The sequence below is a fragment of the Homo sapiens genome, chromosome 1 (assembly GCF_000001405.40).
Source record: "Homo sapiens chromosome 1, GRCh38.p14 Primary Assembly".
In the NCBI taxonomy this organism is placed as follows: domain Eukaryota; kingdom Metazoa; phylum Chordata; class Mammalia; order Primates; family Hominidae; genus Homo; species Homo sapiens.
Window position 1 is genome coordinate 47,876,326 of NC_000001.11, and position 14,491 is coordinate 47,890,816.

At 47.7% G+C, this 14,491-nt stretch overlaps 1 protein-coding gene across 10 annotated transcripts in view, besides 2 other annotated features; it reads right to left on the reverse strand.

Moving 5' to 3' along the window:
• TRABD2B (TraB domain containing 2B) overlaps nucleotides 1–14,491 on the reverse strand; it is a 236,858-nt gene that overhangs the window by 115,798 nt on the left and 106,569 nt on the right. The gene's annotated exons all lie outside the window — the stretch shown is intronic.
• Nucleotides 5,331–5,857: an enhancer, noted in NCBI's record as "H3K4me1 hESC enhancer chr1:48347328-48347854 (GRCh37/hg19 assembly coordinates)". NCBI's record gives its function as "activates a minimal SCP1, AML or CMV promoter by ChIP-STARR-seq in primed H9 embryonic stem cells {active_cell/tissue: H9 hESC(primed)}" and the evidence as "EXISTENCE:reporter gene assay evidence [ECO:0000049][PMID:30033119]".
• Nucleotides 5,858–6,383: an enhancer, noted in NCBI's record as "H3K4me1 hESC enhancer chr1:48347855-48348380 (GRCh37/hg19 assembly coordinates)". NCBI's record gives its function as "activates a minimal SCP1, AML or CMV promoter by ChIP-STARR-seq in primed H9 embryonic stem cells {active_cell/tissue: H9 hESC(primed)}" and the evidence as "EXISTENCE:reporter gene assay evidence [ECO:0000049][PMID:30033119]".

The window sequence follows — 14,491 nt, forward strand, 5'->3', positions numbered from 1 at the left end:
CCCTGACTTGAGAGAACAAAGCACAGATCCAGTGAAGGGACTTCCCATGGCAACCTGGGAACCATAACTGTCTCTGACTCCTGGCCCAGAGCACAGACTCTAGGTTAGCCAGCCAACCCCATCTCTGCAGCATTAATCATTAAGTCAAAAGGTCAAGAGGCCTCTAGCTGGGAGACAGACTAAGTACCTACAAGTGGGGCTTGTGTATGGTGGTGGGGAGGGGCTAGGAAATCCCCGCAACTTCAGGATTCAGAGCTCTCTGGAGAAGTACAGGTTCATGGAGAAGGAAGCCATAGCCCTGTTCCTCAGAAGCCTACCTGCAACATGCCAGAAACTTCCCCTGGCCCAGCCGGGGGGCCCACAGCCTCCAGCAGTGCTGGGAGGGGTTCCGGGAGGGAGTGAGTGCTGCCCCACTCAGAGAGCACTGACAGCAGCAGGCAGCACTCCTTCATGTCTCTGTTTACTCTTTATATACGCACATACTAAGCACCAACTGTTTGCCAGGCACTGGGCTACATGCTAGGTCATTCATGCATTCGTTCATCCACTCATCATTCCTTCAATAACAACTGTCTGTCAAGCTCTTCCTGTGTGCCAGGCACTGTGCTAGGCACTGCAGATCTATAATAGTAGCTAGTAAGTCATGCATGGCCCCTTTCACATTAAGCTTACAGTCAGGTAAGGAAGAGAGACAAAGAAATAAACATTGCAAATTGTGATAAGTATCATGAAGGGCTCAAATTGGGGTTAGGGAATAATGATGGGGACAGGAAAGAGGCACTCAGAAAGGGACATCTGAAAAGGACTCTTTGAGTTTGTGAAATACAAGCAGGGGCCCAAAGGACTAGAAGTCAGCTCTGTGTATATTTTGGCAATGGGGCTGGGGGGTGGGCAGGTGAATGTTTCAAGCACAGCAAACAGCCTGTTAAGGCTGTTGGGAAGACAGCTTGGTGTGTTAAAGGAGCTCACAGGAGGCCAGCTCCAGGGCAGCTGGAACAGAGGGAAGGGAGAGAGTGGCCAAGCAGGGGATGGTGATCTACTCTAAGTGCATATCCAGCTTCAAATGGCAAAGGCTTGGGTCCTTTGAAAAAGACAAATACATCCGTGTCCTCCCTTACTTCCCTCCCTCCCTCTTCTGTCCCTTGAATAAATGATGGTACCCGATATTGGCAGGTGTTGTGAACACAGGGATTAGTGGAAACCATCTGAAAGCATCTCGCCATCTCTATTAAAAACCTTAAAAATGTTCAAACTTTCTGAGTAGCAGTTGCACATCTCAGAACTCACTTGAAGAAAAACACACTTTGGAGGCATGAAAAAATTACCTGAAGGGATGTGTGTAGTAGCAGCATTTATACAATTATAAATAACCTAAAAGTCAATTATAGAGAAGTGATTTTAAAAAGATGCAGTCTTCCATAAATAAAATATTATGCAGCTACTGGTGGACTGCCTGAGGTTAGGAGTTCAAGACCAGGCTAACATGTTGAAACCCTGTCTCTAATACAAATAAAAAATTAGCCGGGTGTGGTGGTGCACACCTATAGTCCCAGCTACTCGGGAGACTGAGGCAGGAGGATCACTTGAACCCAGGAGGCAGAGAAGTTGCAGTGAGCCCAAGAACATGCACTCCAGCACTCTGCACTCCAGCCTGGGCGACAGAGCAAGTCTCCATCTCAGAAAAAAAAAAAAAAAGAACGTGTTTGTGGTCGGGCACGGTGGCTTACGCCTGTAATCCCAGCACTTTGGGAGGCTGAGGGAGGTGGATCACCTGAGGTCAGGAGTTCAAGACCAGTCTGGCCAACATGGAGAAATCCCATCTCTATTAAAAGCACAAAAAATTAGCCAGGTGTGGTGGCGAGCACCTGTAATCCCAGCTACTTGGGTGGCTGAGGCAGGAGAATTGCTTGAACCCGAGAAGCGGAGGTTGCAGTGAGCCGAGGTCACACCACTGCACTCCAGTCTGGACGACAGAGAGAGACTCTCCCCTGCACCCCCCAAAAAAAGAACATGTTTGTAAAAATGTTTTCAGTGAGTAGGTTATAATGAGACAACGTGATGTGCCTAGACAGAAGGGATTACACTGTGGTGATTCACACAATGTGGCATCACACAGCCACGAACTAGAAGGGCCACCAACACAGGCAACATCAGGGAAGATTTTTAGTGACACCATAGCGAGTGAAAAAGCAAGTCTCAGACGTCTACGCATACATCATTCTCTCCTTAATGATGTCAAAAAAGCAGGCACAATCAAGCAATAGCATTTATATGACACTACTACATTTTTAAAAATTAAAGGAATGACAAATACAAAATCTAGAATTGAGCTATCTCTTGAGAGGCAGGGGCCAGGAGAGCAGGTGAGCACACAGGTAAATGTGAGTTACTGGTAAGATTTTACTTCTTGGGTTAAGTGGTAAGTTCAGAGTTTTTATTATGGTATTCACAAATAAATAAGCAAACAAGGAAAAAGAAATAAGGTTATGGGCCAGGCACAATGGCTCCTGCCTGTAATGCCACCACTATGGGAGGCTGAGGTAGGAGAATTGCTTGAGTTCAAGAGTTTGAGACCAGCTTGCACAACATAGTGAGACCGCATCTCTACAAAAGATTTTTTTTTTTTTTAATTAGCTAGGTGTGGTGGCATGCACCTGTAGTCCCAGCTACTGAAGACACTGAGGTGGGACAATCACCTGAGCCCGGGAGGTTGAGGCTTCAGTGAGCTGTGCTTATGCCACCACACTCTAGCCTGGGTGATGAAGTAAGACCTTGTCTCAAAAAAAAAAAAAAAGTTTATGCATAGACCAGTGATGATAGTACGACATGTAGGAAGCATTACGATAAAAAGTATTCACCAGTATATGGCCTAGTCTCAATTTTATTTAAAAAACACACATACATATAAATATATAATCAGGTGCCACATACTGATGTTTTTGTTCAATACAGTCCACATATGCAACAGTGATTCCGTAAGATTATATTTTTAATATGTAAAATTTTTATTTTATTTTACTTTTTTATGTTTAGATATGTTGAGATACACAAATATTTACCACTGTGTTACAATTGCCTACAATATTCAGTACAGCAACATGCTGTACAGGTTTGTAGTCTAGGAGCAATAGGCTATATCAGACAGCCTAGGTGTGTAAAAGGCTACACCACACCTTCTAGGTTTGTGCAAGTACACTCTATAATGTTGGTACAACTATGAAATCATCTAACGCGTATGCGTGTCATTAAGTCATGCATGACTCTATACCTGTGGAAAATAGGTAAGAAAGCAATACATTGACATGGTAACAATTATTTCAGAATGATTTTTATATTATTTGTACTTTTCTATTTCTACAATAAATTTACATTGAACAACTAGAACAAAAAGTTGTTTAAAAGAGACAGCTCATTTAGATGTCATCTATAACTTGTTCTTAAGGAGGCCAAGAAGGGCCAGAAGTGAGAGTGGGGAGACCCCAGAGTCCAAATGGTTGATGCAGTGTAGGGCTGTTACTGATGTGGCTGAGATGTAGACAGGGAGCTGTGGGGAGGCCACCCCTGCCAGGCTGACCCCTCTCGTGCTTTCTCCCTCCCATTTTAGTCATCTGTGTTGATTCTTTGTCTGGAGTAACAACTGCTTCACTCCTTTTCCACCCTTAGCTTCTAGGAGAGAGGAGGCTCCTTAAAGATGTAAATACAGGCCAGGAGCAGCGGCTCACGCCTGTAATCCCGGCATTTTGGAAGGCTCAGGTGGGCAGATCACTGGAGGTGAGGAGTTTGACACCAGCCTGGCCAATGTGGTGAAACCCATCTCTACTAAAAATAAAAAAATTATTGTATATTTGGGGGTGGTCGTGGGCACCTGTAATTCCAGATACTCATGAGGCTGAGGCAGGAGAATTGCTTGAGCCCAGGAGGTGGAGGTTGCAGTGAGCTGAGATTGTGCCACTGCACTCCAGCCTGGGTGACAAAGTGAGACTCGGTCTCCCCACCAAAAAAAAAGAGAAAGAAAAAGATGTAAAAACAGAAATGAATTGATCATCAACCAATCGATCATTCAGTCAATTCCTTTTGGGTGAAGGTTTTTATTTTTATTTTTTGAATCAGGAAACAATAATTACACAGAGACTGTGAGACAATCAGTTTTGTTTTAAGTCGTTAAGTGTGTGGTCATATTGTGACACAGCATGGAACGCGGATACCAGGTCAAAACAGGGGCTATGAGAGAACAGAGTGGGGAGTCGCTAGGTTTTAGACATCAAGGGGAACTGTCCGGGGAGGTGTCATGGGGAAGCAATGTGGAGGCACAGCGTGTGCACAGGTTCTCCTCTGCCCCTCCGTGTTCTAGGTCTTACCTGGGGAGATGCTCCATGGGAGGCCTGCTTCCTCTGGCACTGTCTGAGTCCTGGGACTGGGTCTAACCAATTCTGGGATCCAGTTAGCAGGCTTCTCCGCCTCTCACAATAAGATATGAGGGCCAACCTGAACTTTCTCAGTAATAAAGGTTATGCTTGGGCCCCCACTTGCTATCATTTGCTTTTTTTCCTCAATTGCTGAGAACTAGAGGGTACTGTTCATTGGGGGTCCCCTCGCAGCAGTGAGAACAGCAATCCAGCGGGGAGGAGTGAGGTTCGGAGAGAGACGAGAGCACCCCATGGCGGTCCATAAATTCAGGCTCGAGCTTAGATCTTGTCCTGTAGGCCATGGAGAGTCACAAAAAAGTCTGTGTGTTTCAGTGGCTACAGACTACACCGCAGGGCATGGGCCTCCACAGCCAAGAATCTGGTTTTCAGTTTTCCTTAATCCTGCATGGTCTGGTCCCATGCCCATGATCAACTTGGGTTGCAGTGGTGGTGGTGGTGGTGGGCCCGGGAGTGTGTGTGTAAGCACAGGCCTACATGAGGCAGGTCCATGCAGGCTTGCTGTGAGCTCATGTGAATGGATCTGTTGTCTCTCTGTGTGCCCCTGTGTCACTTGGTGCAGATGTGTGTTTGTGTGTCAGAATATATTTGAGTGTCCCATGTTTATGTGTAAGCCCATTACTTGGACGGTGTTAAGACAGAATAATACCAGTTAATGTTTGTGGAGTGCTTAGTATACACCAGGAACTCTGCTAAGAACTTGACATCCATTTTCCCATTTTTATCCTCATAATGACACCATGAGATTGGTACTATTGTTACCGCACTTTACAGTTGAGGAAACTGAGGCACAAAGCTTTACGCTAAGAAACAAACCCAAAGGCACAGTTCTAGCAAAAGGCAGATTCAGGAGCAGACTGAAGCTTTCTGGTTCTGAAGCCATGTCTACATGTATCCTCGTAAGTCTGTGGGTATGTGACCAGGTGCTTGGGTGACTGTGTTCTCATGGGCTCTGAAAGCACGTGTGGCGGGCTTATCTGAACCTATGTGGCCAGGCTATCTTTTTCACTATGTGCTCATAGACACCACATGTCTGCATGGCTTGTGGCATCTGTCTTTGTGTCTGCATGTCCTGATATAACTGTGCATCCTGGTGGCCCATGCTTATTTGCATGAATCAACATGTCTCTGTGTTTCTGTGTGTCTCTGGCTGCCTGTATGTGGCCGTTCATCTGCACACCCCCATGAGGAGTTGGGCAGGGCTCAGAGCCACATCTGGCTCTGACGCATTGCCTGTGGGGAGAGGGTGACTGCAACAGTAATCCCTGCCATGTGAGCGTGTGTGCCTTCTGCCCTCAGAAGCCTGGAGAAATCCAACAGACGCCCCGCTCTGCAGCAAGCAGGCAGGCAGGCTGCGCTGCTGGGGGCCTGGCTGGGTTTATTTTCAGCAACCGAGGAGGCCCTGTGGCATTTAATTAATTCCATTCCTTATGTAAACACCAGCAAACACAGGGCTTCAATGGCAGAAGCACATCCTGCCTCATGCTCCCCATGCTGCCGTTGCATGGGACTTCACTGTGGGGACTGCACGTGTGTGCCTGACCACCCGCCACAGTGATCTCGTCCGTTCTGCCACTGCATCACCCCCAGGATCTGCCCCCTGAGTCTGATTCCTCATCCCTCTCCTCCACCCTGTGACATCTCCCCTGGCTCAGGCCTTGACAGCTCTAGCCCAGACCTTTGCAAAAGTCTTAGGGTTGCGGGTGAGGGGGTCTCTGTTCTCAGCTCCATCTGGTGGTCCCAGGGTGAAGGAGAAACTTATAAAATGCAGGTCCATCAGATGTTTGGTTCAGATAGTCTGCTGACTTTGTCATGCACATAGGGGTGTTTGTGTATGCAATAGTCACCTTGTATCTAACACAGACAGCACCTATGTGAGCAGAAGCAGAATGCCCACCATAGCCACCAAGGCCCTGGGTTTCAGTCCTGGCCTTAACAGGAGAGCTCTGTGAACGCTAACATGCCATGCAGCTCTGGAGGGGAGCAAGGGTCACAATAACCTCCAAATCAGGTCATCAGGAAATAGCCATAAGTTGGTAGCTTGTGGGGAAATTTTTTATTTGAGGAACGAGGAAGGTAACAGTGAGGAAGGAGGCACCTGGAGGGGCAAAGCAGACGATGCACCCCAGGAAGGAGGCAGGTAAAAGGATTGGGAGAGGAGTCCTGGAGAAGCTGCTCATTCCCACAACCCCCGGCAGGTCTCGCAGTACCATGTGGTAACAGCATAACCCTGGGCAAGTCACTTAATAACACAGAAATCTTTCTCCAATGTGAGCTTTCCTTGAAGAACTTACAAATAATAATTATCATTCTAGTAGTTCTCACTTTTCAAGACACACTGTCAAGTGCCTGATTTGTCTTATCTTACCCACTCTTTACAACATCCCTATCAGCTCTCTGCCTCCATATACCCAGCTTGTAGGCCAGGAAACGGAGGTTCAGAGATACTAAATACCTTGTCCAAGGCCACACCTGGGTTAAGCAGCAGAGTTGGGACTTAATTCTAAGTCAGGCTTCTCCCAGAGCCCTTGGTCTTGACATTGTCTCAAAATTGAGTTCTCTAGCTCAAAATGCTGGTATTTGAGTTCTGTAGCTCAAAATGCTGGTATTATAGGCTTGATGTTCAAGTTCATCTCAGTCATCATCAGAATTTTAGTTCCACTGAAACTCATACCTCTTGGCAACAAGACAGAGACATAACTAGGGGGTAGGGAGTAGAAAAAGAAGGCTGAGACAAGACAGCTGGAGGAGACTCAGGGATGGAAAGTAAGTGTGGCCCTGAATATGGATGTGTCTTGGGGCAGCTTCTCTGAGATCTTAGAAGGACCAAGAGCCTGAAGCCTTCAGCTGTGTCACAAGTCAGGACATCTGGATGGTTAGCCAGACCCAGAATAAATAAATGCCCCAGTGCATATGTACTGTCTTCACCAAAACACATTTACAATCTTCTTGTTCCAACTACAGGGAGGCAGATGCTCAGAGGGATGGCAAACGCAAACCCACTGTTCAGTCTCCATGATGTCTCACTTAGATGTGTAAGTGCCACTGGCTTTCTCTTTATTCAGCAAGTTGCCTGTATTGCTCATTTTAGTGAAAGTAAAAAATGTGCTCAAAGCATCTGGGAGGTCCATGCCTACTCAACTTTACCAAAAGCTCTGAGGTTCCTGAGCCATGATCTCTCTCTCCATGGGGATTTTAGGAAGCTGAGCCTGGTGTCTTGGAAAGGATGATTGTGCTTGACCCCCAGGGGATGTGGGAGGATAAAATGTGGCCAGGTACATGGAAATAAATTCTAAAAGCACTGGATCAGCATTTGTGACAGTTAAATAATGGGAAAGCCATAGAGCCTCTAGTCTCACAGTGCTAGTCATTAGGTGCCCAGTCCATAAATAGTCTGGTTCTGCAATCTTCCCAGAGCCCTGTAGGGTGGCTCTTTCCTATGCTCTTTGAAAACAGCAGTGGCCGTGTGATTTGCTTTGGCCAATGACATGTGAATGGAAATGGTGCCTGTCACTTCTGGGTGGAAGCTTTAAGAACCAGTGTGGAATTTTCCTGTCCTTTTTCCCTCTCCAAGTTCTGGACAGTGGCTGGTCTGAGGCCCCCAGCAGATCTGTGGTGTTCACACAACACGGTAGAAAATAACTCTTTCTTGTTTGAAGACACTAAGAGTTTTGGGGTTGCTTGTTCCAGCTGCACACCCTGGCTATCATGATGGTAACTCCTTACAACCTACACACCGGCTGGTAAGCCCAGAAGCAAAGTGTGAAGAGCATGTGTTTCATCCTAACTCTTCTAATGGAGTCCAGCCTCAGTCTCAACAGTCCATTCTCCACACAGTAGCCAGGGTCATCTTTTTATTTATTTATTTTATTTTTATTTTTTGAGACAGAGTCTCGCTCTGTCGCCCAGGCTGGAGTGCAGTGTTGCGATCTCGGCTCACTGCAACCTCTCTACCTCCCAGGTTCAAGCGATTCTCCAGCCTCAGCCTCCCAAGTAGCTGGGACTACAGGTGCGCGCCACTATGCCCGGCTAATTTTTGTATTTTTAGTAGAGACGGGGTTTCACCATGTTGGCCAGGCTGGTCTCGAACTCCTGACCTCAGGTGATCCACCCACCTCAGCCTCTCAAAGTGCTGGGATTACAAGTGTGAGCCAATGCACCTAGCCAGGATCATCTTTTTAAACTACAAACGTTATCATGGCACTCTGCCTCCCACTTTAAGTGCCCAGACATTCAAAACCTGAACATAGCACCCCTCCCCTTCCCCTGCCACCCAGCTGCTCAAAACTACAAAAGATAAGGCTCAAGGATATCATGGACCTGGTCCAATTCACCTCTCCAGCCTCAGCTCTTGCCACCTCTTGCTTCATACTCTAACCCCTATTAACCAAAATTACTTCATTACAAGGTGCCATGCTTTCTCTCACTTCCAAAACTTTTGCACATGCCATTGCCTGTACCTAAAACACTCTTCTCTGTCCTACTCACTTAACCAACTCCTACACATCCTTTGGGCCTAAGCTTAGTGTCCACCTCCTCCAGGAAGCCCTCGCTGACTCCCAGGCCAGGCTAGGTGTGTTCTCAGTGCCTCCACTCTTACCATGTGTATCACTGTGGACCGTCTTATTTACTTGCAGCACCCCCTTTCAGGCTGTGGGATCCTTGAGACAAAGGGCTGTGTCTGCTTTTTTCCCCATGGTATCTCCAGTGCCCATCACTGCATCGGCCATCTGGTAACTGTGGAGCATCTTCTGAATGAATGGATGATGAATCCCTCCACATACAGGTCCTCTGTTGGTGGCAGGGGACCGTGATTTAACGAAGCAAGGGGAAGTTTCTTTATGTGCTCTCCCCCCAAATCTCTGGGTTGAAGCGGGAGGCAGGGAGTTCATGGTGATAAATGAGGGCCTTTCAAGTAGCTCGGTGGCCGGGACACTTGGAGGGCAGCAGCCTGGGGCCTCCTAGGGAGCTAATGGTTTTCAGGAGCAGTTTGGGAAGGCATCCTGCAAATAGCCAAAAGAAAACATAACCTCTCTAGGCTCCTTCTGTCCTGAGTGCTCAGCTGAGATAGAGCTCAAAGGAGCTTAATGAATTATTATGTCCACATTGCTTGCTGATAAATGACAGTCTCATGCTCCGTTACCAAATGCTGGTTGTAATATTTAATCAAAGTCTAGTTTTATGCATCAGTTGGTTTTGAAAATAATATTTATGGGTCTGGAATGCCTTCAACCTTCAGGCATATGGCTGAAGAGAATCTTTATTTTGTAGCTATTGGATAAGAATATAGGAAGTGAGATAGAGAAACTGCGAAGTTCACTGAGATGGATACTAATTCCTTCATGCCAAGGATTCATCCTCAGGTACAAACTTTTTCCCTAAGATCCTTCCATCCTCACCCAAACCTGGTTCATTGTCTAACCCATCAGTTCAAACCTGATTCATCATCTAACCCACCTCCTCCAGGGAGCCCTCCATGACCAACCCAGTCCCCAGGGATCTCCACTCCTCCAAGCTCTACTTGGTCTCGGCCACTATGCAGAGCATATGCACTGTTCAGCATGATGGATGAACTTTACCCGCTGAAGTGTTGGCCGTTCCACTCGGCTCGGGCTCCCGTGGGGCAGGCGGGGTTTGCTTCTTGTTCCTCTCTACCTCTCCTCACTGCTGGACACCTAGCTGGTGTTAGGGAAATTTCTATCAAATGGTTGATAGAACTGAATTTATAGTCTCTGGGCTTTGCACACATGAGAAGTTCAAAAGTTATCTGAGATCCTATTATAAACCACTCCCTGAATTTTGTCCTTTTCCCTGTTCTCTCCACCTCAGTGAACATGCCAAGCCAGACACCTGGAAGTCATCCATGAGTCCCCCAACCCCTCTTTTAATCATTTGTTCATTCGTTCATTCATTCATTCTTCTATTCCTTCAGAAATAACAACAAAAAATATTATGTTTACTCACTGCCAGGCCCTGTGTTAGGGGCTAGGGACAAACAGTGGTGAATTGGCCAGAAATGGTCTAGGGGGAATTTTAACTTCTAAACAGTTTTTCAAACAGTTTTTCTCTTGTACATCCAAAGGGCCTGCCTTGGTCCGGGGCCATTTCATCTCTGACAGGTTTCTAATGTGTCCCTGGCCCCCTGCTCCAGCCTTCTCCACCTCCACACCATCATCATCACACTTGGTAAACAGTTTTGAGAACATGGAAGTGGGAGTGGGGTGGCGCAGAGAAAGCACTGGTCAGGAAGGCTGGGTTCTAGCTCCCTGTGAGAAGCTGGATAAACCCTTCCCTCTCTAAGTCTCAGTTTGTTCAAAGGTAAAGTGGGCTAATAATCTACAACTTGAGTGTGGCTTTACCTTGAGGTAAATCTAGTGATAATAATTCCATTTCTGAGCAGGCCAAACACATTACATGTATTAACACAATCCGCTCAACAATCAGGGACAGGCAGAAGTTCCTATTACTGCTATTCCCATTCTGCAACATAGCAACTGAGGCTCAGAGAGGTTAAGTAGCTTGCCCAAGGTCACACAGCTATAAGTGGAGAACTGGAATTCCATATACAGGACTGACTGACCCCAGAGGACCCTGATCTTAACTTCGACATGCTACTAGCTCTCTCAGTCTGTGGAGGATGCCCTTATGCCTAGTGGTTTTATCTGTGGCTTTGAGTGGGGTGGGGCTTGGGAGTCATGACTCAATTTCCCCTAAGCAGGGACCAAGAGACATCCTATGTTTTGAGATAAGCACACTTAAATCTCCCACTTGTTAAAACATTTTCAGGTTCTTTGCCATAAGTGAAGGATGTGAAAGTCCTGGGGTGGGGGCCGGCGGGGGGTGGGTGATTACATGACAAAGCCAATGAACAGTCTTAACCTGAGCAAAGCATGTGGATTGGGCCAAGGGCACCAAGTGCAAACAGTGTTGCTGCAGGCAGGGGTACCCGGGGAAACCAGCCTGCTTCCTATTAGCGCTGAAGAGCAGCGAAGAAAGGGTGTAAATCAGGAGAGGACGGGGCCAGGTTCCTGTCTCCCAGAACCGCCTTTAGTCTTCTTCCCCAGGTCCCTCCAAACCAGTCCTGGGTGCTCCCCGCCACCCCTGACAGCTTCCTCTCTCATTAGGATCTCTCTGACAACCCTGAGGATTTACAACGTGAAATGTTTCCATTTCCCTGACAAGGTGTCTCTGCTTCAAAGCGCCTGTGCCTGCCCTCCGGAGCCCAGGATGAAGGTGACTTCACAAGGGAGACAAATGAATCAAAGGGCTGACACCCATCCCTTTCTTTCCCCCCATAATACATCTGTTTATTATTGAACGGGGGCTTGCATGGTTCGTGATGAATTGTCTTCTCCTCCATAGCCATGTCCCCAGACGGCTGGGGAGGCTAAAGTGTCTTCCAGGAGCATCTGCTTTTGATCTCTGGTCCTTTCAAATCTTAGGTTAAAATCTTTAGCCTGACGGGCCTGAAAGGCAGCCTCCAGCAGCAAAGCAGGGGCAAAGGAGTGTTAAAACCCTGGAGAGGATCATCTGGGTTCTCCCGTGGAATTCCCTCTGATGGGCTGAAAATAGAGCAGGGGGCTTTCTGTTTGGAGGGAGGCCCCTGCTTGGGTTTGAGGGCAGGGTTCTCATCTGCAGGTGCAGTGCCCTTGGGACCCTGGGAGAGGAGTGGAGGCTCAGGCTGTTCACCCCATACAAGGCTGGGCACTGGCTGCAGAGAGGAGGAGCCTGTGGTCCTCTGGTCAAAAAAGCACCAGTCACCTGCCATCGCTACCTCCTGTCCCTTCTTCAGATCTCCTCTGAAATGTCACTTCTGTAGGGAAAATTCTCTTGATCACCTCCAAACTGGGAGTGACAGTGACTGTCACCTGCTTACCACACCCATATCCTCTTCTTTCCAGGCACACAATTCAACTGCCTTCCCCTAGCCTCCTCTGTAGGTAGAGAAGGCCATGAGACTGACTCTGGCCATTGGAGCATGAGGCCACTTCCAGGCTTGGCCCCTGAGACCCTCCCAGTGTGATCCTTGTCCCTTCCCACGGACGCTGACTGCTGTTTCTGCCCATGAGAGAGCTTCTGTCCACCTAGGGCCCTGAGTTTTCCCTGGCCCACTGGGAATACTCACATTGGAGCTGTGAAGCTACTGAATGATGGGGGCTTGTTGTCACAACAGTTAGCATCACCCACCCTAGGTCAGGTGCCTGTGGCCCGCGCTCCCCAGCCCCTGTACTTCTGGGTTGTACTTGGCGCCCTTGCTTACACTGCACTCTCTGGAGTAATTTGTATGATGTCTGTCTGTCTCAGGAGACAGTGTTCTCCCTGAGGGTAGAGACCGTCTCTCTTCTTCACCACTGAAAATGTGGGCCTAACACAGCCCAGTGCACAGAAAGAACCCAATGAACAGCTACCAGATGACTGATGGACCAGGTGATGGTGAATCCTTCTGAGATCCACAACACACCTTAGCCTCATGGAAGCTGCCCAGAATGGGAGGTCAGGATCGCTGGCTTGGATCCCAGCTCTGCCCCACCATGCAGAAGCCGAATGTCCTTGGTCATTTCACACCACTTCTCTAAGCCTCAGCTTTCTTATTTGTCAATTGAAACAATTTCTCACCTCTCAGGGTTTGGGGGGAAATAAAGGACAGAGAGCCTGTGCAATTGCCAAGCACGGTATGTGGCTTGTCATGTCACATTGTTCATGTGTTCATGTCACATTGATGACAGATACCTGAATCTTATTGCCAGATGTGGGGATAAGACCTTGGAAGTGACTCAAGCCACTGTTGACTCTGCCAATAGCAAACTGTGAGGGCAGTGAGGCATATGTCACCAGAAGATTGTAAAAATAAGACCCATACAGGGTTATCTATTAGGTCAAAGATGCATAGCTGCTGAGAGTTGGTGACCAAAGGATTCAGTGGAAGGATTACTCTCCAGGTATCTAGAATCCTGGACTGGGGCATTTCTACTCAACCTCCAGTCCTTGGCCCCTGAGGCATGAGATCTAGAGCCAGGCAGTACCCTGCCACTGCCCAGCTGGGCAACCACAGGCACAACCTTTACCCTCTCTGAGTCTCTCGTTCTCCATGTTATAAACGAGGAAGACAATACTTAATGTCTTGAGGCGCAGTGTAGATTACATGGGTCAGAATTTGTAAATGTGCTTAGGACAGTGTCTCATCTAGAGGAAGCCAAAGTAAATTATTAGCTCCCTTTGTTCACTGAGCTTTTTGCTACCTGGATGGAATGAAGTTGCTGAATATCTCTGGCTGAGTCTCCTTTTTCTCATCTGGCACAGGTTACCCTGCCTGCCTCACCCACCTGCTGTGACAGTCAAAGCAAGCATGGATGTCACTCTGCTTTGTACACTGCAGAGTATGCTACACAGGTAGGTTGTTAATAATAGCTACAACTATTAGTACTAGTAATAATAATATCAGTAGCTGTGGTTGGAAATGGTAGAAGTAACTACAACAGACTTGGGTAACAGGATCGGGGTCAGGTGGTAATAGCAGCAGTGGCTGTGATGGATGTAATAGCAGTGAGGGTGGCCAATGCCTAACACTGCCCCAGTTAGTAGCAATGGCCATGACCAGCGTGGTCATGGAGGTGGCAGGTACAGTAACAGTAGCAGCAGTGATAGGCTGGTGGCAGAAGAGGTGACAGAGGTAGTCATTGTGCTCAAGCCTTGCTGGCCTCCTTTCTGTTACCAGGCCCATGGAGCCTGCTGCTTGGGGAGATGCTGCAACTTCCTGGGCATCAGTGTTCTACAGGGTGACCAGGCAGTGAAAGAGCATTTCTTCAGCTTCCTACTGCTGGGGGGGCCCAGGTGTCCACAGGTGACTGAGCACTGACAGGTGGGCCAAAGGATCCACAGACCTGATGCTGCAGGCCTCTCATCTGCCAAATGCCTTCTCACATGGTCACCCCTAGGAGCCTTTGAGAATCTCCTGAGCAAAGTTAGGTGTTTTTTCCTCCATTGTCCCTTTAACGTTCATTCAACAAATATTCACTGGAGCCTACTGTAGGCCCTGAAGAAGAAGAATATAATTCCCAACTTCAAAA